This window comes from Homo sapiens, chromosome 1 (genome assembly GCF_000001405.40).
Source record: "Homo sapiens chromosome 1, GRCh38.p14 Primary Assembly".
Lineage (NCBI taxonomy): Eukaryota > Metazoa > Chordata > Mammalia > Primates > Hominidae > Homo > Homo sapiens.
Window position 1 is genome coordinate 178,472,335 of NC_000001.11, and position 27,421 is coordinate 178,499,755.

At 47.0% G+C, this 27,421-nt stretch overlaps 2 protein-coding genes across 27 annotated transcripts in view, besides 2 other annotated features; one reads left to right on the top strand and one right to left on the bottom strand.

Annotated features, from left to right (window-relative positions):
* RASAL2 (RAS protein activator like 2) overlaps positions 1 to 6,516 on the top strand; it is a 384,747-nt gene extending 378,231 nt beyond the window's left edge. For all 19 annotated transcript variants that reach the window (NM_001437625.1, NM_001437626.1, NM_001437627.1 and 16 more), the window contains one exon: positions 741 to 6,516. In NM_001437625.1, the coding sequence (NP_001424554.1) occupies positions 741 to 883 (143 nt within the window). In that variant the 3' untranslated portion in view covers positions 884 to 6,516. The remainder of the gene's footprint in view (positions 1 to 740) is intronic.
* On the bottom strand, positions 6,458 to 27,289 carry CLEC20A (C-type lectin domain containing 20A). 8 transcript variants are annotated; one of them, XM_047420517.1, is made up of 10 exons: positions 27,200 to 27,289; positions 24,780 to 24,848; positions 24,566 to 24,675; positions 22,120 to 22,476; positions 20,167 to 20,232; positions 17,738 to 18,103; positions 16,167 to 16,265; positions 10,841 to 10,948; positions 9,978 to 10,063; positions 6,458 to 7,281 (listed from the first exon to the last, which is right to left on the bottom strand). In XM_047420517.1, coding segments are annotated over exons 1-10 (1,344 nt in total). In that variant the 5' UTR covers positions 27,202 to 27,289; the 3' UTR covers positions 6,458 to 7,200. The 8 variants fall into 8 exon arrangements, with proteins under 8 accessions (XP_047276473.1, XP_035717074.1, XP_047276461.1 ...); XM_035861181.2 differs by lacking the exon at positions 16,167 to 16,265; NM_001395331.1 differs by lacking the exons at positions 24,780 to 24,848; positions 27,200 to 27,289 and having other exon boundaries at positions 6,906 to 7,281; positions 24,566 to 24,630.
* Positions 11,323 to 11,499: a silencer, noted in NCBI's record as "fragment chr1:178452792-178452968 (GRCh37/hg19 assembly coordinates)". NCBI's record gives its function as "represses an EF-1alpha promoter that drives an FKBP-Casp9 reporter gene in an ReSE screen in phorbol 12-myristate 13-acetate-treated (for megakaryocytic differentiation) K562 erythroleukemia cells {active_cell/tissue: K562(+PMA)}" and the evidence as "EXISTENCE:reporter gene assay evidence [ECO:0000049][PMID:32094911]".
* Positions 18,846 to 19,046: a silencer, noted in NCBI's record as "peak476 fragment used in MPRA reporter construct". NCBI's record gives its function as "represses an SCP1 promoter by STARR-seq MPRAs in K562 erythroleukemia cells {active_cell/tissue: K562}" and the evidence as "EXISTENCE:reporter gene assay evidence [ECO:0000049][PMID:32103011]".
* Positions 27,290 to 27,421: the final 132 nt, after the last annotated feature.

The following is a 27,421-nucleotide window of genomic DNA, read 5'->3' on the forward strand; positions in this document are numbered from 1 at the left end:
TAAAATGAAAGCAATCTCCGTATTGGGCAGCCCTCCTGGAGTAACTTTGAGCTGGAATGGGTCTAGGAGCCTGTGTTCTCTGTTTGTTCTCATGTGTTATGTTGATGGCATTCCCTTTTCGGCACATCTCCCTCCCCATATTCAAGTAACTCCTTGGTCTGAGCTTTTTGGCTGCTTTTTTCCCCTCTTGCTGTTGCAACCTCACCTTGTTGGTGACTCTACACTGCCACCATGTATTGTTTTAATTTTGAGCACAATGTGAATTCCTTCCAAATGTGACTGATATGCCCTCTTTTGGGGCTAAGAACCCATAGATCACATGCTCTTCTCCTCTGTGAAATGAAACCTCTGGTGCTTCTTTCTTTGCCACCTAATTTCCATGTTTCAATTTTGACCTAAAGCACTTAGTATAATAAGGCAGCTTGATACCTGTGTTGCATAGTCTGAGGTAACACATGGTATCACTTTTACATGACAGTCTAATGTCCCAAGAGATTGTTAATAAAAAGTCCTGCTATGCTGAAAGAAAAAGAGAGAGAGAAAAAAATAAACACAGATCCACTGGGCTCAGGGGAAGCTGAACCTGACCAGTGTGCAGAAAGAGGCAGAGACGTTCCATTTGTCTGGGAAGCACCATGCATACAACTGTTTGAGAGAAAGCACTGGACTAGTCATTCAGTAAAGAAAGCGTGTTACCTCCTGCCTGTAGCCTGAATAAAGCCATGATTGGTGTGTTGTAGGAAAAACGGATCGTGTCCCTGGATTCAGCCAACACCAGACTGATGAGCGCGCTGACCCAAGTGAAGGAGCGGTACAGCATGCAGGTCCGCAATGGCATCTCCCCCACCAACCCCACCAAGCTTTCCATCACGGAGAATGGTGAATTCAAAAACAGCAGCTGCTGACGGGCTTTGTCTGTGGAAGGAGACAGAAGGAAATTGACCCACTCTCCTATCTCCAGACCTTTACCTAGCCCCTCCAGGTTTACAGAATGTTGCTACTTCACAATGGCGATGTGGTGAGAAACTCCTGAATGAAGAAAGGAACCTTGTCTTTCAGGGCATAAGGCGGCGACTTCCAAGGTCAATGCTTTTCCCCCACATCTCTATGTACATAGGGAACTTAGTTCTGGGCCATGTACAGAAAATATCACTGTAATATACCAAAAGGAAGTTAATAATGTAGATTACCTTTTTGATTATTGCTATTTTTATTATTGTTTTCCTCTTGTTGAAAGCACTGCAGTTGTTACAGGAAGTAAAGTAGGAACTGTTGTGTGAGCGAGACATGAGCCTGTAGGTTCAGTAGGTAGAGACCAAGCATCTATCTGATAGAAGCACATGGAGTGCAATAGGACATTGTGAGAAGGAATTTTTCAGGGATTCATCTACTAGTTTAAAAACCCCACTCTGGCCCTCTTGTCCTTTCAGAAAACATGCAAATACCAAGATCCATACAAAACAATAATTTATTCCACTGATCAACCAAGACTGGTTCTGGTTGGACAGCTAATCTGATTTGGGGATTCACTGTTTCAGAGGACACAGACAAAAGCTGTTGCATCAAAACTGGACTTTAGGAGTAATTTCTATTGAACTCCTGTCAATATGTTTATTTCCTCTGTCTACAGCAGATGGGAGTCTTCTCTTTTAGACAGGGGCTTTTTGTTTTTAACCCCAATTGTAATAAAGGGTGTTCTTTTTCCTCTTTAGAGTTTACAAAACTATAAATATTTGTGTCTCCACATACCATCTTCATCTTCACACATTCACTGTGCTTTCCTCCCCATAGTGGGAGCTGTCATCACCAACAGGGTTTACTCTCCCCTGGAGAGGTTATTTAAATAGCTGTCCATAAGCCATCCAGATCAACACCCTTTCTTCCATACAGAAAAGGGCTAACCATACCACAGCTGGAATCTCTGAATATTTCCTATTAAAAATTTTTTCTATGTGTTGTTATAATTTTTGTTTGGGATAAAGACTCTATCCATTGTACTAGCAAATCTATGGGGGGTAATTTTATCTCCATCTTTAACTTTTAAAGTACTTCTTCCCCTTATCCCCTCAATAAAGAAAGGAAATCCAAATTTGAAGCATCACTCTCTTAAAAGAAAAAGAAAATAATGGAAAGTGTCAGGATGGCACATTCCAGTTATTATTCCAATGCTCGTAGATCTGACAATAATGACCCAATTTCAACACTTGTCATCCATAGCCTTATTATTATAGAACAGAAAAAGTCATGGAAACGAATTCATTTCCTTTTTTCCAGAGGTGTGCAATGTCATCTTGAATGCAACCTTGATTACCAGAAGTATGGAAGGTTACATGTTAAACAGACATTATATATACAAATATATATATAATATATATTCACACATATGTACATATAACTGCACAAATAGGAAAAGTTCATGCCTTCTATGCTGTTCAGATATAATGTTAAAAGGGTCTCAAACCTCTTTAAGCAAGATCTAAGTAGTTGTTTTATATTGAGAAAGCAACAATGTTTCTCGAATAAGTTGATGTTGATTTTAAATTATAAGCTTTAAAGAATTTTTTTTCTAGAAAAAGGGGATGGAAAAAAAAGGACCTGAGGGAGCCATATGCATCAAGTGAGTGTTTCTCCATAACAGAATATTTATAAGAGAACATGTATAGTGCCCTCTTTTGAGTGATGCCGACAGACACCAAGCCCTCCTTTTCACCAAGTCCCAGGCTTGCATTCCAGCCTCTTGAGCTCTGCCCTCTCTCAGGTGGATCTTTGTGTTGGACCTTACGTTTCAGCAACCTCACCATGGCCACATAACCCACAACCTTTTAAAACAGTTTCTTTCATAGCAATCCCTGTTTCTGCCAGACAGATCTAAAATGGGAGTTTCTCACTGTGTTTATCTGATCTGCACACTTTATATCCAGCTGTTTTGGCACTTTTACGTTTTCTTCACCTTTGGTTTTGGTTTGCAAATTCTTACACCTTCTCTCCAAGCGGAGGGCACACTGTGGTCAAAATCACTTATTTTATTAGGAAAAAGAGGTAACTGTTCCAAAGTGTAGTGTCCTTTGTTGAAGGAGGAGGGATGTAAGCATAGATTTGTTCTTGTTTCTGGCTATTCTCAGCTCAAGCCATGTTTAATTCATTCTTTGTAAAAGCCTTCAATTGTGCCACAGAAAACCTGGTAAGAGAATTGTCAGTTTCATTGGCCATAAGTATGTAATGTGGGTGATGTCTTGCCATTGAGGTTTGGAAGCTCTTAAGTGCCGATTATGGATTACAGAGGGCTGATAAAATTACTTATATTGGGAATTGAGAGAAGCCCCAAAAAATCAAATGTGCTTTTGATGGATAGAGTGTATCTTATTAGCATTATGGGAGCTCCTTAGAGGGCTGTCTTCACTGAAAGATTTAATGCCCAAAACATTTGGACAGATTATGCAGCCTTCTACTACCAGGTTATCTTGAATGAAGAAGAAATAGTAAAAAATAATAATAATAGAGCATTACCAATAAGCTAAAAGTTCAGAGTTGCTGATAGATGTTAAATGTTAAGTTATCCTGTGAGCCTACTCCTGTCCAACCTTTTTTCTCAGTATTTCTTTAGAGAATGCTGCAATCTGTATAAGTTACTCTGAAGGATTTTTTAAGAAGAGAAGCCACCAACAGGTGATAATTTTTATGGAGATGTTTCTTAATTGGCTTTCCCTCAGTTCAAGTAGGTAAATAACTTTGTTTGCTGGGAGGAGGTACATGGCTGAAGAGAGGCAAATAGATTAAGATAGCAATGTCTTGCACTTCCTGTTTCCCTCAAAACAACACCACATTGTGGGGCGCAGGATAGATCAGGGTTGAGTGGAATTTGGAATTCAGGTGAAGTGCTTGTAAAGTGCATGTCTAGCTGACAACAGACTTGACCATTAATGAGGACAGTGTTGGTAGGAGTCAGAAAAGAGCTTCATATTCCCCTTTTATATTACTGAAGCAATAAGCAATCTGAGCTGAAGCAGCAAAAAGAGTCACATTTCCATCAGGTCATCATATTCCCTGAGTCTCTGCAGCAAAAGCCATGTCAGAGGGGAGATTATAACTAGGTAACTATAACAAGCACTTGAGCACTTACCATGTTCCAAGCACTATCACCAAGGTACTGTTGGGGTTTATGGCAGTCTAACGGTAAGAAAAATGTGGTAAAATGAGGTAATCATGCTGCTATAGCTTTTTGCTTTTTTTCATATAGTATCAAGTTGGTCAGAATTAGCTTTCTCTGACTGGTCTGCTTCCGTGTTTCTCTGTGATGGTGTTAAGATTATGAAAGAAAAAGAAGATTACCTAAGACTGCTACAAGTGTTAACTATATGCCCTTAAGAATGAGCTTGACTTTGGAAGTAAAGCTTTTCAGATCTTAGTCTACCCGGGGCCTTTGTTGATGGGTCTGTGGTTCTGTAGACCCCTGGCTTTCACTGTGTTCTCAGAGGTACACCAGATTGAGAGCAGAGTTCTTCTTTGGAAGTCCCAGAGCAAAATAACTGCCATCAAGTGAGTTTGCATTCGTATTTGTTTCCCCTTCCATAGAGGGTTAGTTTTAGTTACCTCTAGCTTGGAGTTCCTGAGAAGGCTGGTTATAGGACTGAGCGTGGGAAAGGAACCCTCTTCAGGATTACCTCAGTCCCATCAGTCTACCCCATTGTGACATTGAGCCCAACACACACGCTTGACACCAGACTAGACTTGTCACAGGGCCAAACCCAACAGCCACATGCCATAGCTTCACTGCATTTTCAGCTACACCTTTGGAGGCCACCTTCTCCTATCAACTGTGGAAAGCCAGAAGGGCTCCCTTCTCCATTCTCCTTCCCTTTTTCAAGTCTAATAGTGAAATCTCCTGCTTACCCCAGCAGTAAATAGTTGCCTTCCTACCCCTTACCTGGGGGCCGATAATTTGAGATACTTTGTTTTTTCAATGCGTCAGTTGAAGGATTTAGTTTCTTAAAAGCAAGAAATGTTGGAGTGTTGAATTTTTAAATAGAATCTCTTTTCATGTTTGAATGATTGTTATTAGTTCTAGAAGCATTCTCTTTGTCATGACCCGATTATGTATACTCTTGGGTTTAGGAAGGACAAAAGTGATGAAATTTGCATGAGATAGAATAAATATCTTAGGAGGAGTGAAAGAACCTGAGGAAGAGACACGACCCTAAGGGAATGAATGCATAAGCAGTCTTCTCAGTAGCCCAGAGTTTCCAGGAAACAGGAATATTTATATCCCTTGCCCACTCTTAAAATACATAGATACATAAAAAGGCAGTCTCTGTAGACAACACATGCACACACCCACACAAAACATAATTCCTGGGGCTTCCTTTTTCTGAATGTTAATCCATTTTATCGAGCAGTGATTCCCAAACTTTGAGATTTTCAGATTTTATGCTCTCGTCTGTTAGATTTTATGACATTCTATCATCCTAAAAAATGTACTATATGTGTTATATGTATATATAAGTTAAAGCAACTTGAAATTGACTTGGTTTGGCATTGTCTCAAGAACCCTAGATATCATTATTGATACCATGGGGAATCATAGAAATAAAGTTGAATATCATTGATCTGAGAGTAGGATCCAGAAATAAGTAGTTTCAGTTCCTGATCAGTTAAGCCTCAAGTGTTTGAGTAACCAACACAGCAAGACTTGGGAAATGCAGTGAGCACCCGAGGAAAGGAAAGTGGTAGTCTTTGCCTGCATTTCAGCATGCATTTTCCTTTCCTACTCAGTTGCTATCTTCCACTTAAATACCCTCATTTGACCCTAGGAAGTTTTTTGTTTTTTTTTTTAGTTTGAGACTTAAAACCAGATTTATTTGTTGTTGTAGAGAGATTTCCACAGAAGTTGTGTTTTAGGGACCTCCATCATCTTTGTGGGGGTACAGATATTTATGTGTAAATATCATTTTATGTGATTTCCAAATTTTCGAGGGAAACATTTCAATTCCCAGTTCAACAAAAGGTTAAATACTAATTGACTCAATGACCACCTTCAGGAAAGTTAAATAGTAAATTAGGTTAAATTTTGACTGGTGCTTAGACATTTCCTAGTTATATTAACTTAAGCAGACAGCAGCACATTAACCTGAGTTACACCTGTGAGGAAATGACCTTCTAAATTTGATTTTGTTTTTCATCTCCAGGGCCTTAATAAGAGTGTGTTAACACACGACTATTTTACAATGATAGCTCTAAATAATTTATTTTTTATTTCAAGAAAGAGAAATACACCTTAGAAAAACAAAACCCAAGATTTTATTTTATTTTTAAAGCCATATTTTTGTGCTAGTAGCATTTAGATTATTCCGTATGTGAGATCCGTATCAGCATTTCATTACCTGGGTTTGTTCTAAAGAAGATTTATTTTTGTTCTGTGAATAATTTTTGACAGTTCTTGTACATGTACAGATATAGATACGTTTGAGGTCTTTTATTGATATTCCTACAAAGAATACAAATAAACTTTAACTTTAAACATTTCAGACTAAAGTTGCTACTATATTTGACATATTGCTGTCTTCTAGCATGCACCTGGGTGACTAGGACACTTGAAGAGAAACAAGAAAGGAAATGTATGCCGGAATATTCTTCTAAAAATATATTTTAACATTAAGAACAGTCTGTCCTAGAATTTCCCAACTTCCATGTAATAAGATTTCAATTTAGGAAAAATAACTAGCATTAGCATGTATTGTGATAAAACTGTTACTTTCGAATTCTGCAGAATTTGAAATCTCTTTAATAACTTGTGACAGGTAAAGAAAGTTTCATCTGGTTTATTAGGAAATGTAGCCCCACTTAGCTTCCTAGACCACTACCATCCTCTTGTAATTTTCCAGTTAGATTAATGGGGTTTGTTTTCAGGATTTTTGATGTTTGGTTCAGGTTTTTTATTTTAATTTCTTAATAGAAGTTCATTTGTCATTCCCAACATGATTGTTCCCAAATACACCCATCTTCTCCTGCATCCCTGTTTCATTCTGTAAAATCCAGGGATGCAGGTTTCATGTGTAGTCTTGTTTTGTGTTAGTTGTAGGTCTGTGCTTTTTGGCACATGTCGAGTTCTTCCTAATCTTGTTCTACTAGGGATTAAAAAATTAAAATTTACTCAAAATCCAGAGAAGATTGCATGAAACAGAAACTGCATATCCAAGAATTGTGCTATTTTTTGTTCACTTCGAAGCTGACCCATTTCAGTCTAAATTGTTCGTGACCTAATGTAAGCTTTAAGACTTCCTGGATCTGAAACATCAAAAAGAGAGAAAGTGTTGATGCGGTCTTTTTACTTCATGGTCCTCTTAGCCCTAAACTATCCATCCGTATACCCTTTATGCATATCCATACCCTGTAATTGTTTTTAGCCTCCCTCCAGCTGCCTGACTTTTTTTATTAGCATTTTACCAGTAGGAAAATACATAAATTAATTTTGTTAGCAAAAAAAAAAATTTAATGACAAAGAACACTAAAACAGATGACTAAATCAGTGGTTTTCAATCCTGATTGTTCATCAGAATCACTGGAGAGTTGTTTAAAAAAAAAAAAAAAGAAAAAAAACAGAGGAGTACCTCTTGAGCTCCACCATTGAACAATTAAATAGAATCTCTCTAAGGATTGGGCCTGGCCAGGCTTTTTTTTTTTTTTTTTTCTTTTTAACCTTGCCAGGGGATTCCGAAGAGCCAGGGGGTAAGAAACACTAGTCCAAATCAAGCTGTGAGCACTGTGCGTAGCTGTCTTAAAATGTTTTCTGTCCCCAATCCTGAAACTGGGGTAAGTTGGTTACAGGTGTTTCCTTCCCTTCTATTTGGAATTTAAAATTCTACTAAAACTGACAATATATACTCAGCCTTCCCCCACATACACCTTGTCCCCACCAATCTGTCCTTTAAGTCTGTGAGGTAGAAATTCTCTCCATTAACATGGTCATCCCATTTATGGAATAGATACATTCTGACAAAGCTGACCAGAAGATGGAATTCCCTATTTCGACCTCAGTTTCCCCACTGGCTTCAATTTAAAGCAGAAGGTAGGTGGCTTCTGGTTTGGAGTCAGAAGCTTCAATGAGTACACCCCTTGAGGAGTGCTGAAGGGCCCAGGCCAGAATCAAATATGCTACATTTGACTTTAAAGAGTAAACAACAGTGGCTCACGCCTGTAATCCCAGCACTTTGGGAGGCCAAGGCAGGTGGATCACAAGGTCAGGAGATCGAGACCATCCTGGCTAACATGGTGAAACCCCATCTCTACTGAAAATACAAAAAATTAGCCAGGCGTGGTGGCGGGCACCTGTAGTCCCAGCTACTCGGGAGGCTGAGGCAGGAGCATGGGGTGAACTCAGGAGGTGGAGCTTGCAGTGAGCCGCGATCACGCCACTGCACTCCAGCCTGGGCGACAGAGCAAGACTCCGTCTTAAAAAAATAAAAATTAAAAAAAAAAGTAAACAACATAGAGAACTCAAAAGTTCCTTTGTCTACCTCCACCACCCCCCACCAAAAAAAAAGGCCCTTAACTACATTTGACTTTAAGGAATAAACATAAGAGAACTCAGAATTCCTTTGTCTCTCCCCACCCAAAAAAAAAGAAAAGGTTCTTAACTTTTCTTGACCTAATATTCAGCACTGAAGTCTTATTACTTGAAACTTATCAGATGCTAAATTACACCATTCATACTTATTGTTCTTTCAATAGCAAAATGTACTGAAAGCTCTCCAGTCCCCCCTCCACTCCTGGCAAGCATGCAGTCACGTGCTCGTGTGAATTTTCCAAAATCATGAGCATTTTGTAAGATTCAGTTGGTTATATGAAATTACAATAAAGAGTATTATATATTTTATTATAATTTGTAAATTGTGTGCTATACATTCTTTATATCAGTAAAATTTATAGTAAACACATATACATTATATACTCACACACACATATTACTGGTCTTTCTAGAAACTTGATTTTGTGAAATTCTAGAATGAATTCCCAGGGTGATATTTGTTTGGCCTATGAATAAATTGCAATGAACTAACAGGTAAATGCCAATGTTTCCTTGTCTGTAAAATTAAGATTGTGGCTAAATGGTGTATAGGGTACTCTCTAGCACTGACATTCTGTGGTTATTATCTGATATAATTGAGAAATGTGTCCTTAGACTATGTTCAAAAATCGGCTTGAAGCTTTTCTCTCAGTATTTAGGAACAATTCTTCCTCCACAGTCTCCCATGGCACAGTAGTTTTTAAGAACCAAAAAAAATAAAGTCTGGAACAAATGTATATTCAGAACACTACAGTGATAATGTTGATAATAATAATAGCTGGCCAGGCGTAGTGGCTCACGCTTATAATCCCAGCCCTTTGGGAGGCTGAGGCAGGAGTATTGCTTGAGCCCAAGAATTGGAGGTTGCAGTGAGCTATAATCACACCATTGCACTCCAGCCAAGGTGGACAAAGCAAGACCCTGACTCAAAAATAATAGCTAATGTTTATTGAGCACCAACTATGTGTCAGATTATTTGCTAAGCACTTTATATGGAATATATCATTTAATCATAACACCAACCATGTGAGTTAGGCATTATTATTATCATTCTTATTTCAGGAGGAAACTGAGGCTCAGAAAGACTAAGTTACTTGCCCAAAGCTACACAATGGATAAGGGCAAAACTAAGACCCACGCTCAGATCCCTCTGACCGTGCTGTCTTGACCAAAAAAAAACAAAAAAACAAAAAAACAACAAAAAAAAAAACTTAGGAAAGACATTGGAGAGGGTAAGAAAAGATCCAAAAAGATCTTGCCACATAACCAACTTGTCACCATGAGCCAAAGTGATGGCAGTGGAACAAGATGAGGTCATATTCCACAGGTTTTCCACCTTAATATATTGGTTTTTATAAGATTGTCTTGCAATGTCCAATCATCTGATCAGAATTAGAAGAGTGTGCAGAAGTCTCACCTGTCTCAGAAATTGGTCTTTCATCTCTTCTGGGTCCATCAGAGTTGAGATGGTAAAGTCTGCTTTCAAGATTCCAAAAGGGTGCCCTGAAAAAGAAAGTGCTACCTGTTCAGGGGGATATTATCCTATTTCCATTTCAAGTTCTTAGCAGTCAGGAGCACCCGGTGGACACCATAGATGCTACATGTTGATTTGGGATTTCAAGAAGAAGAAAGAAACTGCTGAGCAGAAGAATGCTCAGCCACAATTAGGGTTAACCAATTAGTGGCTGAAAAAAAGAGTCCCATGCTTTGGGTAATGCGAAGTCTTCCACAGCCTGGCTACCCATCAGGCAATTATTTTCTTTTTTGTTTCTTCTGTATTTTTCTCCTTACTTTTAATCCAGTAAGTAGATACTCCACACCATGCCGGAAATACTCATCTCTCCTTGAGCTCCCCACCACAGAAAATTCTAAAGAAGTTCTCTGACTTTTTAAATAAATCCAGCCTTTGCCCGTGAGCCATCCATAATCATTACAGGAACTACAATCTCATAATAAGACTATATTTGCATTGCATTTTATTGTTTATAAAGTTTATAGTTATCTCATTGGGTGCTCACAACAACGCTGTGATATAGGCAGGGTAGTTTTTACCACATCCCCTTCACAGAAGAGAAATAGAAATTCAGAAACTTGTCCCCTAAGTTTTCATAATAGTCATGGAGCATAAACTAGAATCCACCTCTTTATTACTATCCCTATTCCCAACATTTCATGCTGTCTTTCATGAAAAGGTCTCAAGGGCCCTGTGCCAAGGAGTGACTGTCCAGATTTAACTGCTCCACTGGTAAGAGTAGGAACTTGGTAGACAGAAGCAGTTACCTGATTTTTGTGCTGATGTTTTTTCTTTAGATTCTGAACTCAGATGTTGGGCCTCCGTGGCAGCAGCTGTATCTCTTCTATCAGTGCCACTCCCTACACTGGCCACAGCTACAGGAGGGGAAAATAAAAGATTTATTGCAAATACAACCAGGAGTAAGGTGGCCTGATATTGGTGACTGCCCCTGAGCTAAAAGACAGGCAAGGACAGCCACTGCTAGGCACACAGTTGCTGCAGAAGCCAGCGATGTGGGAAGCTCAATTCCTGCCAATCCCTGACTCACCCCTACAGGCTCTTTTAACCCAGCACTTGAGTTGCTACACCATCATCTTTCAGAAAGCCCCCCTGGCAGCAGGACCTGTGGGGCTTGGGCAATGTTAGGAGGTTTTTCCTCATCAAATTTTTTTTGTTCAGTAGCCTGTGCTCCAAAGGGCCTAATGTCCTTATTTTGTCTGCCAGCTACACAAAGCCCCCACCATGGCACCCAGGGACCCTCAATATCGCCATCTCCATCCCAAACCAAGTTCAGGCTCTCCCCCAGCACCCCCTCTCTTCCTGTATGGCTGGCCATGCCCGGAGGCGCTCCAGCCAGAGACCCTGGTGTCCTCAGCGGCTCCCTTGCTCCATCTCACCTGCTCTCATGTTCAGTCACCAAAGTCCTGTCAGTGCCTTGCAGATGTCTTATTTTTTCAAATATGGAAATAATCCTTTTATTTGGAATATATTATTGTAAAATATGTAAGCAAATTTGTCCCCTCCCCAACCCAGGGACACCCATGATTAACACTTTGCTGTAGAAGGTCCTTCACACTCTCGAATTTGTTAATTTGAATGTGTAAAGATCTCCCTTGTTCTCTTTAAAGGCTGCATAGTAGTATTTCACTGAATGTACCATAACTTATTTAACCGATCTGCTTTCAGTGGACATTACGTTGTTTCCACCTTTTCACTGTAATAAACAATGCCGCAACAAACAACCGTGTGTGTGGAAGGTGCATATATATGTGTGTACCTCATATTACTATTTCCTTAATCAATTTCTAAGGGTAGAATTTCTGTACGAAAGATTATGCACATGTTAAAACTGACACAAATTCTGATACCAGAGTGGTAGCCCCAGTCGGCATACCTACTGTGCCAAGATCACTGTTTTTCCCACATTCTCAGCATTATTACCTTTCAAATCTTTGCCACACTGTTAAGTACAAAAATACATTTTAAAACTGCATCTTTTGGCTAGGTGTGATGGCTCACACCTGTAATCTCAACACTGGGAGGGTGAGGCAGGAGGATCACTTGAGGCCAGGAGTTCAAGGCCGGCTGTGCAACATGACGAGATCCTGTCTTTAAAAAAAAAAAATTAGCCAGGCGTGGTGGTGTATGCATATAGTTCTAGCTACTTGGGAGGGTGAGGTGGGAGAATCGCTTGAACCCAGGAGTTCAAGGCTGCAGTGAGCTATGATCATACCACTGCTCTCCAGCCTGGGCAACAGAGTGAGACCTTGTCTCTGAAAACAAAAACAAAACAAAAAGCAAAAAAAAGTAAGCATCTTTATAAACTTTGCATTTGTGTGATTCAGTGAACAAAGCTGAGCATTTTTTAAAATGTATTTGTATTGGTACTTCAGTTAACGTCACTTGTGAACAATGTAAAATCAATTCGCTGTCATGTCCCTTCCCACTCCAGTGCTCCAGAACAGGCCTGGGTTCCACCCACCCAGACTGTGCAATATTCTTTCCCCACACACACGTTTCCTGTCTCTCCTTTTCTGATTGGCCACCCCTTCAAAGGCCTCTTTCCCCACCCAAAGCATCATAAATTTCTTTAATAAAGTGGATAAATGTGTAAAATTCAGAAACACAGAAGAGGAGGAAACATCTGTATTTTCATCCCCTGAATATAGTCACTGTTAACATTGTCACACATCTCCTTCCAGACTTGATTCCTAAGCATTGCTATTTCCTTTCAGCCTTGTTGTGACTGTATTATGTACATAACATTGATAATGCTTTTTTCATTTAGCACCCTAATACAAGCATTGTCCTACATCATCCTAACCACCTTGCTTCTGGAAACTACAGATCTGAGCATTTTGCTCACCTGCTGTAAACCTCTGATGGCTCCATTGGCTGGGGGATCAAGTCCTTCAGATTTTGCCCCCAGTGTACCCCTTTCTCCTCATCCCCTGCCACTCCCTTCCCCACTATGTGGCCTACACCAGTCGCATCAAACTGCTTGTCATTCCCAAGCAAACCATACAGTTTGACATCTGTCTTTACCCATGCTATTCCTTCTGCCAGGAAGAACTTTCTGTACTTTTCTGCCAGATGAAATCCTCCATTGTTACACCTTCTATCCTATTACCACCTTCCAGGCAGAAGGAAATGAATTGCTTTCCTGCCACAGCTCTTGGTTCACACTTCTGGTGCAGCATTTTCCAAACCGTCCTGACTGTCTCCGTTAGTTCCTATGAGACCATGTGCTTCTAAAAACAGGAAACAGCCCTGCTCATCTTGGTATCCACAGTTCAATGCCTTCTTCAAAACAAGTACTCAGGAAATTATCGTCCAATTAAATCATCTACCAATGTGCACTATCCTAGTCCCCAGAGAGATACAAAGAAGTACAGAACAGCCCCTGCCCTGTGAGATTCTGCAATCTCAATAATTCATAATTGTAATCATTTATGATTAATAAAATGAGAATGAGGCCAGCTCCATCTATTAAGGAGAGAGGTGGGAGAAGGAGTGAGTCACTAAACATTTCACTAGAGAACTGAGATTAAAATGGTAATAACTACCATTTATTGAGTGTCTGCCAGATGCCAGGCACTGAGAGATGAGAAAAATAAGGTTCAGAGAAGTTAGGAAACTTGCATAAGGCCACACAGTAGGTACTGGAGCCAATATTCCAACTCTTGACTGTCAGACTCTTGCTTTTAGAACCAAAATGGATTATTTCTCCCCCAGATCACCCCACTTCACCTCCATTTCCATCCTAAATTACCCAGGGAGGACGAGACAGTGAGCTGGCTCTGGCCAGACAGGACCCCTGTAGGATGCGCTGGAATGCAGCCGGAGTGGGGAGACTGTGGCCCAGCACACAACGCGCCCACACCACACCCCACCTCTCATCCTCAACTCCCTGGCCTGCACCCTACTCATGGAAGCCAGGCCTGGTCGCCCCAAGAGAGGAACTCCCCAAGATGCTTGGGCCTGCCTGGGGTGGAGGTCCTAATTTCCAGCGACGCAGACAGGCACCTGTTTGGGGCCCTGGCCAGCTCCCAGCTGCCTCTGGGCGGGTGTCTTGGCTCAGGGCTGCAGAGTCAGGGGGTGCAGTTGTCCTCTGGGTCACGGCTGGGCTCCCTAAGCCAAATGAGTCCGAGATGCTTTCTTTGGTCCCCAGAGAGCTCCCTTGAGCCTGGGAGCCGAGGCCCCGGCTGGATGTGGCAGACCCAGGGGGTGCTGCTATCCTGGGAGTAGCTGGGGCATCGCGGGTGGCATCGAGTGTGGGGCTCGAAGCGGAGGCCAGAAGAGTCGCAGTTACTTCCTGGGGGACAGAGAGGCTCCCCCGAGAGGCCGCAGCAGGGCTGGAGGGCTGGGACGCCGAGGGCGCAGGGTGGGAAGACGCACTCTGGGCAGTGACCGGCGGCATCCTGGGTCCTTCCGCGGGAACCAAGGTGCCCCCCGGGGCCGCGAGGTTGGCCGAAGGGCCGGGTGTTACCGCCCCTTGGGGCTGGAGGGCCGCTGGGCCCGCGGAGGCGGAAGCGCGCGAGTAGGAGGTGCGGAGGTCGGGCTCGCGGGGCTCCGGGCTGCCCCTCTGAGTGAGCCGCGCTGCTGAAGCCGGGCCCTGCGAGGCGCCCACGGGGCCGGTGCTGGTCCCTAGGGCCAGAGAGAAGACTTCTGTGGGGTCCGCTGCGCCCGGGACCCCTCCCAAAGCCGAGGGCAAGAAGGAGTGGCTTCGCGCGCTGGCTCCCCGGGCCTGTGCCTCTTCCACGCCTGGCCTTGCCCACCCAGTGCAGACAGGGGCGAGCAGGGAGGGCCTCCTGAACCCAATAGCGCGGCCCAGGTGGCCAGCGAGCCTGGGGCAGCCAGGCAGGTGCCAGGATAGACCTTAGATGAGAAGACAGGCTGTTACCCAGCTTCTGACCCAAATCTGATCACAGCTACCAGCCTGGGCTCTGTCGCCTTCAGGGTGAGGTCCCTTAGTGACTCACAGGGGGCCCGGCCGGCAGGATCTGGGCTCCCACACTCTCCAGCGCTGACTGTCCCCACCCCACCTGCAGCTCCTTCCATCTGCAGTCCTCACCCAGCCACGCACCCCCACTCCACTTTGCAAGCTAAATCCTTCTCATCCTTCCAATAGTTATAAAGTCACCTCCTCTGCGAAATCCCCTGGACAATTACAGGGGGGGATGCTCCCCTTCTCAGCGTCCCCACCACGCCTGTGCCTATACCAAGCACCAGCCTCTTCCCAACTGGCTGTGAGCGCCTTCAGAACAAACCTTCCCTTTTCGTTGTGTCCCCAAAATCTTGCCTGGTGGCTGTGCCTGGGCTAGCACAGGACTCCATCCACACTTTCTAATGAGTGAATGAACGAGGCTCTGCTCGACCTTGATCAAGTGCCCTCACTTTTCTGTGTCCTCAAAAAAAGACAATAATCCCTTTGTGTGATATAGGAATCTGTAAGGAGGCCAGGAAAACGGTGATTTTGCCCTCAATTACTCTAGTTAGCCTCAGAACTCTTGGGAAGTAAAATGAGGTAACAGCTGTGAAGATGTTTCAGAAATTTTAAAATGCTATAGGAATGCTGTCACTGTCCTTCCCAGCCACCTCCCCATACATAATGCCAACAGCTCATCATCCCTCATCCTCTCCCTGCAGAGGAGCCTGCAATTCCGAGGGACTTTGCGGTGCTTCCCTCTGGATGCTGAGCCTCAGGACCTCTCTGATGATTCTTCCTCAGGAACACTGCTCAGGCATCTTCCCCTCCACCTCCCCCAGGGCCTCAGCCTCTCACCTGAGAGACCGTACGGCCTCTCCTGGGTCTCCTGGCCCTGGAGCTGCAAGTTCAGTGGCCCAATTCCAGGAAAAGGGAGTTTGATGTGGCCCAGTCCTCCTTCCCCAGCCCTGGCTGGACCAGCAGGGTGGGGAGCGGAGGGAAACTCCCCTCTGCGTAAGTGGCCCTTGACTGCCACCCCCTTAGCTCACCCCTTTTCTAGGCATACACTGGCCCTTCTAAGAGGGGCTTATGGGGCCTGCAAGCCAGCCTTGCCACTTCCCCAGACCCTGAAGACCCAGATCCAGCCAAGGGCAGGCTCAAAGCACCTCTGCCTGGCCTGGGAGTTGTTTCCTCTGTCATTTCTGTGGGGGAAGTGTGGAAGAGTGGAGGCAACTCTGCTGATGCCCGGTGTCCAGTGGAGGAGTCTGCAAGAAAACAGAGTGAGTGTGAGGGCAGGGTCTGCAACACCCAGCAGGTGAGTGGCCACCCCAGGCTCTGATGGCCCCGCATTTGGTTGCCCATCATGGTAGCCAAACTCAGGAGGGCGCAGTTATTGTACATCTACCGTGTGCCAATCCCTGCAGGAGACACATTCACCATCTCTAATCCTCACAGCAAGCAGCTCCTCAGGGAGGAAGAGCATCTTTAAGGATAAGGATCATGCGTCTCATCAAATCCAAAACACAAAAAGAAACAGCCAAGGACAAGCAAATCCACAGAAACAGAAAATAGGTTTGTGGTTGCCGGTGGGGCGGAGAGGGAGTGACTTCTACCGGGTAAGGGGTTTCTTTGAGGTGGGGGGGGCGGTGATGAAAATGTCCTAAAATCAGATTAGTGATGATAGTTGGACAACCTTGTGAATATTCTAAAAGCCACTGCGTTGTACCCTTTAAAAAGGTAAATTTTGGCTGGGTGCGGTGGCTCATGCCTGTAATTCCAACACCTTGGGAGGCCAAGGCGGGTGGATCACTTGAGGTCAGGAGTTCAAGACCAGCCTGGCTAACATGGCAAAACCCCGTCTCTACCAAAAATACAAAAATTAGTCAGGCGTGGTAGTGGGCACCTGTAACCCCAGCTACTTGGGAGGCTGAAGCGTGAGAATTGCTTGAACCCAGGAGGTGGAGGCTGCAGTGAGCTGAGGACCACTGCACTCCAGCCTGGGCGACAGAGCAAGACTCTGTCTCAAAAATTAATTAATTAATTAATTTAACTAAATAAAAAATAAGGTAAATTTTAAGATGGGAATTATATCTCAACAAAACTTACAAAAAAGAGAGAGGTGGGGAATGAGGAAGGGAGGAAGGAGAGAAGGAAAGGGCAAGGCAGAAGGACGCCCATCACACAGGATGTGGGCACCAGGCAGGTTTGGGATCCCATGCATTCACAGGGACAGAACAAGGACAATGGCTCCCGTCCACCGGGGCCCACTCTGTGCCAGAGTTTCTACTCTGCCCCTTACATTCACTTTCTCATTCAGCTCTCAAAGACATCCTATGAGATGGGTGCCACCAATTCATTTTGTTCAGTGTATTTCAGAGATGAGGAAAAGGAGGCTCCGAGATGCTGCCCACCTTATTTCTGTAAAGTCTGATTCCAAAGCCCAGACTCTTAACTTCATTGTCCAATAACGCATTGCTCTTGCTAATTGCCACTGCCCTAAGGCTGGATGGAATCCGTTCCATTATTTAAAGATTCCCAGAATTAAAATAATACAACTTCCTCACAAGTTTATAGTGCAAGGATCTCAGGAGCCTGCTCCAGAACTCAGTTACCCCTCAGAGTCTGGAAGTGCTTCCTTGGGTCTATCCTCAATGTCATCTGCTGCCAAGTAAACCCATTTCCCATCTCATTCTATCCTCAATGGGCCGAGGGCCAGCAAGAGCAGACTCTCACTCACCATAGAAGCAGAAGAAGGGCAGCAGGGAAGAGCAGTTCACTGAGTACACTTTTGGGGAGTAGGTCATATAGATGCCAAGAGCTGTGCACAGTCCTCTCACCATCATCGGCACCTGCAGCCAGGAGGGGATGCTGGCCCCCAGGTCACTGGACCAGCTCAGAGATCCGGAGTTTGCATTGAGGTAGAGGCCAATCCAGGCTTCAGTCTCACTCATGATGGATCTCAAGGCCTCCTTGCCTGTCTCATCCGTCACCATCTGCAGGTCGGCCAGATCCGTGTGGTGGCTGCGGCAGTACAGCAGGGCCGAGGACCATGTCATCACTTGGTCAAATCGCATGAAGGTCTGACCACTGATCTGGACCACAGCTGGGGTCAAAGAATGTGGAGATCACTGGCCTGAGGGCCTGGGTCTCTGACAGCCCAGCCTTCATCACCCTTGGGGATAGAATTTTGGTCTGACATGGGCCCTTGTCCCTGGTCCTTGAGTATTAGATTTGATCAAAACAACAGTTTTATAGGTAGACTAAATACCAGGATGGAAGAATGGATGAGATAGTATAGCAGCAGGTGGGGGAAACATTAGGGAAAGCAGAGCTTAAGAGTTCTTGTAGCTATATGGCCTCACAAGTTCAGTTTAAGTCCTAATTTCTTCATCTATACAATGGGAAAATAATAGTACCTAAGGTCAGGATTACATGAAATCACATATGCAAATGGTTTAGCACAGTGATATATTAATAGTAAGCACTTGGCAAGATGGTAGTGACCATTTCGGGGGAGATTATGAGGAAGACAGAACAATCTTGGTTTGGGGCCACCCTCCAGTGTGATTTCTAGGGGCGGTGCCTGCCCCCACTGGCTCTCGGGCGAATCCAGGGCTGAGCAGAATAGATGAACTGTGCGATGTTCCTAGACTCACCGTGCCTGGAGAGCCAGGGAGAAGAGGCCAGCCTGGAGGGATGGGCCTGGTGGACAGGAGGCAGAGCAGGCTCAGTGGCCTTGCCTTCTGGGGAGCCCAGACAGACTGAGATGCTATCCTCCCACAACCACCACTGCCAGTCCCTGCCTGAGGCTGGACTGGGCCAGGTCCTGAGGTAGGACAGGCCCAGCCTACCCTGCCCATCGCCGGTGCAGCTCATAAGCCCACACATCTGAGATTCCAGACAATGGAAGATTGCCAACGACGTGAGTGGCTGGGACTTGACCTGAGGCATTGATTCCGGAGGCCCGGAAGATGAAACACTCCTGTTTGCTGAGTCGGGAGTCACATCCTCAGATTCAAATGGAGCCTCCCAAACTCGGACATGAGCCTTTCACCTAAGCCCATCAAGATTTGCCTCCAATTTCCCTAACATTTTCCCTATCTAAACAGATTTTTTAAAGTTACTCTTGATTAAACCCCTAGTATGTGCCAGCCCTGAGCTATGCATGTGGCCTGTGTCATCTTTGAAAACCCCACTACCATCCTGAGAAGTTGGTGTCATTAGCCTCAGTTCACAGATGAGGAAAAGGAGGCTCAGGGAGGCAACAACCTGCCCGAACTCAGGCCATACTAGAGATTCGAACATGGGAAGCCCACGCCATCTTCACTCTACAACTCTGTACTCCATACCATGCAGAAAACCCACTCTACAGAGCAGATTGAGTGAGTATATTGCCTCTGTCATAGATCTTCTCCATATCAGATAGGAAGAAACTTTTTAAAAGACACCAATGCAGTAATACCAGAGGGGACTATTTCAGAGAAGCCGCCCCACCCCTAGATGGATGAGCAGGTACTTGGGCTGTGAAAAGGAACCACCCTGTCCCCAACCCCAGAGTGAGAGCTGGGCTGCAGCCAAGGGCCCATCCACTGTCTGATTCTAGTCTGTGATTGGAGACCTTGAGCCAGTCACCCTCCCCTCTGGGCCCATCAGAATAATAAAGACAATGGCCGGCTCGGTGGCTCATACCTGTAATCCCAGCACTTTGGGAGGCCCAGGCAGGTGGATCACTAGAGCCCAGGAGTTCGAGACCAGCCTGAGCAACATGGCAAAACCCCATCTCTACTAAAAATACAAAAAATTAGCTGGGCATGGTGGCATGTGCCTGTAGTACCAGCTACTCAGGAGGCTGAGGCAGGAGGATCAGCCACCGGGAATGTCGGGTGAGCTGTGAGTGTGCCACTGTACTCCAGCCTGGGAGACAGAGTGAGACCATCCGTGTCTTAAAAAAATAAAAAATAAAAAATAAAAATAAGGACATTGATTCTCCCCATGGGGTTCAGCCAGGGGGCAGCAAATTCTGGAAATCCCTCCCGGACAGCCAGGCAGAAATCAGGGGAACAGAGGGGACGCGGGGGTGGAGATCCTGCTGGCTGGTCTTGGTGGAGAGATCCAAGGCAAAACAAGCCAAATTCCCAGAAAAGGGAATGGGGAGCAGGTATGTACCTGGCTTTGGAGAGGTGGTCAGGCTGAGAGAGGGCTTCGTGGAGATGAGGTGCCCGACGTCAGGGTCTGTAAAACAGAAACAGACCACGAGTTATGGGGAGGCCCAGGATCCTCTGCAGGCAGGAGCTGTCCGGTTATAGCCGGGAAAACCTAGCTCAGGGGCAGACAGGCTGGTCCATCCCTTTCCACATCGATTCAATCCATTCAATAAATACTGGGCACCTATTGTGTCGCAGATGCTATTCTACACCCTGGGAAAAAATGGCAGAAATAAGACAAGCGGAGTCCTTGCTCTTGAAGAGAATATGAGAAGGAGCAAATCTTGTAGAGAGCTGGGAGGAGCTGCCCAAGCACAGCCACGACAAAGGTTCTGCAGTGAGAAGGAGCCAAAGGAATTCATGTGGCTGGGACAGGAGTAGGAGATGAGGCCGAAGAGGGGAGGCGAGGCCTGATGGCTAAAGGAGGACAGGATTCTAAGTGCTGCCAGGTCCTCCTGATTCTTTTGTTTACAGGGAAGTGACCTGATTTACCTTTTTAAAAGCTCACTCTGTGTAGAGAACAGATTTTAGGGGTCAAGGGCAGACCCAGAGGAGAGACAGCGCTGACTTGACCCCACATGCTAGCAGCAGAGGTGCAGAGCTGGAGAGAGGTCAGGACCCATCTTGGTGGAGTGTGGGGACAGTGTGGGGAGCGGGAGACAACGCCATACGCACACCCCTCCCTTTGCAGGCCTCCTGGTCCCAGGCACACTCACCACCCCTGGGAATCTCCTTACTCCCTTGGGAACCCAGCATTTAAATCTAGGCAGCCACCACCTGCTACTTCTCAAGGTCCCGGGGCAGGCACCACGTGGCCATGTTGGGCACATGTTGAGGTTGGTCCTCCATAACCCTATTTGAGAGGTGAGGATGGCACAGAGTTGGACTGAGCCTTGGCTGACAGAGGGAGAAGCAGGAAGTGACACTCTTACCGGGCAAGTGCTGTGCACGCCACAACCAGCCCACGTATGATCTTCCCAACAGCAACGAGACAGGAGTCGGAGGCACCGGCAGCCAGGACAGAGAGGGGCCCGGTGGAGCACAAGGAGGGGGCTGCTGTTCTCCAACAGCTGGAGCCTTGCGCATGGCGTACCGATGGTGGATTTCCCGCAAAGATGCCCGAAGAGTTGGCTCCCACTGCCCACTTAGCGGGAAGCAGGGGATCTCCCAGAGGGTGGCCGCTCCCCTCCTGCCCAGTTCTGAGACCCTAACCATCCACCTGTGCTTCATGAGAAGAAGACAGTGAATTCTGCTCTTGCTTCTGCATAGGTACACATGCATCCCCCCAACCCCAGCCTGTCTTTCCCTCTTGGCTCCCTTTCTTTTTCTCCTTCCCCCAAATCCCTAATTGGAAAGAAAGGAAATTTCCAAATTTTATTTGTATTCTATCCTGACTTACACCCATTTTTTCTATTGAGGTCTTCGAATAGGGGTGCAGAGGAGATAGAAATAGAGGCCACAGAGAGAAAGTGATGTGGCAAAAAGAGTAAAGTCATGACCAGTTATCCTCTGAAAGGGTGCTTCTCTCTCTGTCTCTCCCTGCCCCGTCATTTGCTATTGAAAACCAACCCTGGGCCAGGCCCAATGGCTCATGCCTATAATCCCAGCACTTTGGGAGACTTGAGGCAGGAGGATCATTTGAAGGCAAGAATTTGAGACCAGCCTGGGCAACATAGCGAGACCCTGTCTCTATTAAGGTTGGTTTTTTGTTTGTTTTGTTTTGTTTTTTAATTAGCCAGGTATGGTGGCATGCACCTGTAGTCCCAGCTGCTCAGGAGGCTGAGGCAGGAGAATCACCTGAGCCCAGGAGTTGGAGGTTACAGTGAGCTATGATCACACCACTGCACTCCAGCCTGGGCAACAGAGTGAGGCCCCTGGGGGAAAGACCAAGCCTGAAATATGAATGTGAACACACCACAGTAGCAGAGGAAGGGCTTCTGGGCTGTGCAGGAGGCAGCCCCTATGCTGGGTAATTTCAGCCAAGTGTACAGCGTGGCACAGAAGCCCACCCCAAATTCAGGTAGCTTCTGGCCCCACTCCAGGGCTGTGAAGGTGGAGCCGCTGGACCATCTCAGGCCAGAAGTGCTTGCGTCGAAGAAGAGGCCAATCCAAGCCGGGGTGCTGGTCATGAGGGAGTAGAGCTTCCACAGGCCACTTGGCTGCAGGTCAGCGAGGTCTGTGTAGTGCAGCCGGCAGTGCTGCTGGGCGTCGTACCAGCTCAGCGCCTCCTTCACCAGAACCAAGTCCCTCTTACTGCTCACCAGCTGCAGGGCTGGAACAGGAGAGGCTGTCATAGCATGGCTGTCCCCACCCCAGCCCCTAGTCCTCAAAGAGCTTTCAGCCACACTCGGGTGGGCCTCCCCAGCCTCTTCCCGCCCACTCTGCACTTCGCCGCTGGCCCACCAGTCATATCCAGCTCTACCTCCCAGCCTTGGCACAAGCTGTTCTCTTGTTCTTGAAGAGCCGGCCACCTCCTCCAGCTCCCTCAATCCACGATTCCTATTCTCCCATTCCCTCATCTCCCCAGTCCCTTTGCCCAGCTAACTCCTCACTCTTCTGCCCCATCCTTTCTACAGAAAAGGTGAGGTGCCTTTCCTACATGCTGCAGTGCACCTTTGTTAGTGCTTGATAACAATAGACAATGCTTGCTGAGCACCCGCCATGTGCCATCAGCTCAAGGAATTCTTCCAGCTGCCTAAGATAGCACTCTGTTTTACAAATGAAGGAACCAAGTCACAGAGAGTTAAAGAGGCACAGCCAAGGTCACTCAGTGGGAAGGAATACAGCCCAGACTCAAGTACCCTGGGCAGGCTCTCAGCTCCAGGCCCATATCCATGGCAGGGCACTGCCCCTCCATCTGGGGCTCATAACCAGAGCTGCAAGCTGGAGTCACCTAGGAAGCTTTTCAAATATACCAATTTCCAGGCCCACCCTAAAGCAAAGATCTGCTGCTGGGACTAGCATCAGGATTTTTTAAAAGCTTTTAGGGAAGAGACCTTTTTGCTTGTCTGTCTGTATCACCTGGTATAGGCAACTTAGGAGCAAAGAACGAGCCTCATTCATTATATTCCCAGGGCCCAGCATGATGCCAGCCACATCACAAGGGCTCAATGTATTGAAAAGGAAGGAAGAGAAGGGAAGGAAAGAAGGAAGGAAGGAAGGGAGGGAGGGAGGAAGGAAAGAGAGGGAGGAACTAATGAGCAAATCAAACGTCTCCCAGGAAGCCAACCCAAGCCCCAAGATCTGTGTTCCTTCCTTCCTTGACTCCACCCTCTTGGTCCCAGTAAATGTGGTTGGTCCAGGGCTGCTCTGTCTGCCCAGGCCCTGCCTATGGAGGGAGGCAGAGAAGAATGAAGGGCTTGGTGCTGGGACCTTGGGGGTCTGGGCCACAAGGAACCCTTCAAGCTAAATGCCCCAGGAGAGGAGAATGAGACTGGAGAGCTGGGCACAGGCCGTGGCATGGAAGCCAGGGGCCAGGGCTGAGGAGGCACTTGCCAAGGAGAACAAGCTCCTCACACCCACCGTAGGGGAGGATGCTTCCTGTCACTGAGAAAAGCATTCTGCTTATTTTTTTAATGACTGGCTGTGGCCCGCATAATTGATTTTAGGACGGTGTCCACCCCTGGCACCCCAGCCCCATGCAGGGCGCCCCTCCCGCCGGCCTCTCCAGCCCTACCCGGGAGCCTCTAGTCAGTTCCATGGCCTTGAACTTAGCCCTTCTCTGCCTGCCTGCCGACACCTGGGCCCAAGACCCCTCTACCCTCGGCAGTCCCCACACGCCCCGACTCTGCAGCCAGAGGGCCTAAAACCTGACCACCCACCGCCATGTGGGTCGCAGCCATGGGGCCCTGCGCCCTCCCCTCCCACCTGCATCAGCAGCCGCCACCCTCCAAGCCAGGGCTTTTCCTGGCTTTCTTGGTGGCTCCTTCTCCCCCTCAGGCTCACCCACGGCTCCCTTTCTCCGAGAACCCTTGCCGCCCCCTGGTCCACAGACCCCCACAACGCCCGTCCCTGTCCACACCCCGGTGATGTCCTTCCCTGCATTGCACATGCTTCTGAAGTGACCTGCGCGGCCGTCTCTTTGAGGAATGTCTTAGCCCCGCTAGAAAGAAAGCTGCTGGAGCCGCACTGTTTCTGACTGCTGCCTTCTGGACGCTGGCTGAGTACTGTCTGGTTAGGGGCGATGAGGGCGAAGCTCCCTTCCCAACCCTGTTCTGAGGGTTGAAAAGCATTCATTTCTTTCCACCTTGCCTCCCTCCAACCTGGAAATCTGGGAACTTCAGGGGTGCGCCCCCTTCCCTCAGCCTCTAGCCCGGGGGAGCATGGAGCCAGGCACCCTCCTCCAGGTTGGGGGGCCTCACCTGCTGCGCAGAAGGAGAGCAGCAGCGCCCGGGGCAGCATGGCTGGGCACTGGCTGGGCGATGGCTGGGTGCTGGCTGGGCACGGGACAAGACCCCGGAGCTGGCGGGGACTGTAGAAGAGGCTGCGTCTGACCTTCTGGCCTTTCATTCCTTGCTGTTTCCTCTCTTCCTCTTTGCCACCCAAACTGCTGGATTTTACTAAACAAATACTTACCCAGTGTCTGTCGCTGCCAGCAGGGTGTGAGGTGCTGGAGATGCGGCCTGGAGGATGCGGAAGAGATCCCTGTGTGGGGGTTCAGAAAACAGTGTCCCAAAATGAAGGCCCCAGAAGCACAAGTTTTTCTCTTACCTTCTCCTGCCTTCCTGTCTCTCAGCCCCACTCTCCCCAAGGCCAGCCGTAGGAACTAGAACCCCTTTTCGCCAAAGCCAGCCATAAAACCTAAAAATATTACTCTAACTTGCCCTTGCCTGGCTGTGTAGAAACTGGCTGTAAAGAAATGATCTGAAGGGATCATCGTTTGACTGTAGGTCATGAGAATCCCCCATTCCAGAGAGGGCCCTGCTCCACGCCCAGAAGGAAGGACTTCATGCTCAGAGGGGCCAAGAAGAATCCAGACCCACAGGCCTGGCTGGGTTTCCCCACTCAGTCTATTCACATTAGATCAGACCCTTCTGTCCAATCATATTTCTACACAGCTGCCCACACTTTGTTGAACCTAAGCATAAAAACGAACAATGTCTCCCTCTATCATTGGGTCTTCATTCTGAAGGCTCCCGGGGACACATACACATGTTAAATAAATGTGTATGCCTTTCCTCCAATTAATCTGCCTTTTGCAAGTTGATTTTTCAGAGCATCTTCAGAGGTCCTCCTGCAACTTAGGAGGAAGGCAACATGGATCTGGTAATTAATAAGCAGATCGGGGAGGGAAGGAACCCATCCTTGGGGCTGGCTGCTGGGGGAGAAAGAGAGTAGGGTAGCAGAGGGCAGGGTGAGGCTAGACCCCTTGGGTCCTCAGGGTCAGAGGAGCAAGGGGCAGAAAGGAAGGATGGGGAAGAAGCGGGTGAGGAGGGAGAAGGAGCTGGAAATTGTGGACCAGGCAGGCTTTGCTAGACTCACCCCCTACCCCTCCTCACAGCAACCACATGACGTGAGGGAGAGGGCTGTCATTTTCACTGGCTCACAGGGGAGAAACTGTGGCTCAGAGAAGTGAAACAGCATGCTCAGGACTACACCGCAGGCAGAGGTGAGACAGTATTCAAGCTTAGGTTGAATACTAAAAGCTTTTCAGTGAATACACTGAAAAGCATGAGGTTGGGAGGTGATGGCCCCGACAAGTTCTGCTTCCGCACGGTCAGAGACCCCCAGGCCCAGTCTAGGCTCTGACTCCAAAATTAAGCACAGGACTGGGCTGGGCACAGTGGCATGCACCTATAGCCCCAGGACTTTGAGAAACCGAGGCAGGAGGGTTGTTTGTGCCCAGGAATTTGAGACCAGCCTAGGCAACATAGTGAGACTCCATCTCTACAAAAATTATAAATTAGCCAGGCTTGGTGGTGCATGTCTGTAGTCCCAGCTACTCAGTAGGCTGAGACAGGAGGATTGCTTGAGCATGGGAGGTTAAGGCTGCAGTGAGTTGTGATTGTACCACTGTACTCCAGCCTGGGAGACAGGGCGAGACCCTGTCTCTAAAATAAATAAATAAACAAGTAAAACAAAAATAAAGTGCAGGACTGGAGGCCAAGGCACTTTCTCTGGGGAACCAAAAACAGCTTGCTTGTGTTCTCTCTCTCTCTACACAACATCAAACATGCTGTTTAGGCCCAGAGCCCTCTCTGTTGGCCTAAGGGCGAAGACTTTCAGGAACACAGTCTGGAAGGCTCTCTTTTTTCCTACCCCCTACCCCTTCTCACCCTTCCCTGATGGAAGGGCAAACGGCCCCTCTGAATGGGCAAAAGAGAAAGAGGGGAAAATTTGTTAATGCAGCCACAAAAATGTCCTGCCACAGTATTCTCTCGTGCAGCAATGGCCTCGGATAACTTCCTCCCAGAAGCAGGTCCTGCTTGTGTCAGGGCCTCCCAGGACCACTCTCTGGGGACAGAAGAGAACCTGACAATCCTGACCTGGAAGATGCTGCCCTGCCAGCCACCTTTTCATTTGGCCACTCCCCCAGTCGTCTCCCTCAAGTCTTTCCAGGAAGGGCCCTGCAGCCTCACCCCAGCTCAGGCCCAGCACTCCCTGAGGGCAGCACTTGGAACTCCAGGCTGAAATTCCACGTGCCTTCCTGACTGTGAGCTCCTTGAGAGCACGGACTGTGCCAAAGTCACAAAGCACTCGCTTCTCACAAGCCCAACAAAACCTTTCAATAAATGGCAAGCATTATGTTTATCATTAGTAGCTGTGATGGTTAATATCGAGTGTCGACTTGATTGGATTGAAGGATACAAAGTATTGATCCTGGGTGTGTCTGTGAGGGTGTTGCCAGAGGAGATTAACATTTGAGTCAGCTGAACTGGGAAAGGCAAGACACACCCTCAATCTGGGTAGGCAGAATCTAATCAGCTGCCATCGCGGCCAGAATAAAAGCAGGCAGAAGAACACGGAAAAACTAGACTGGCTTGGCCTCAACATACATCGTTCTCCCGTGCTCGATGCTTCCTGCCCTTGAACATCGGACTCCGAGTTCTTCAGCTTTGGGATTTGGACTGGCCTCCTTTTTCCTCAGCTTGCAGATGGCCTATTGTTGGACCTCACCTTGTGATCATGTGAGTCCATACTCCGTAATAAACTCCCCTTTATGCCGGGCGTGGTGGCTCACGCCTGTAATCCCAGCACTTTGGGAGGCCGAGATGGGC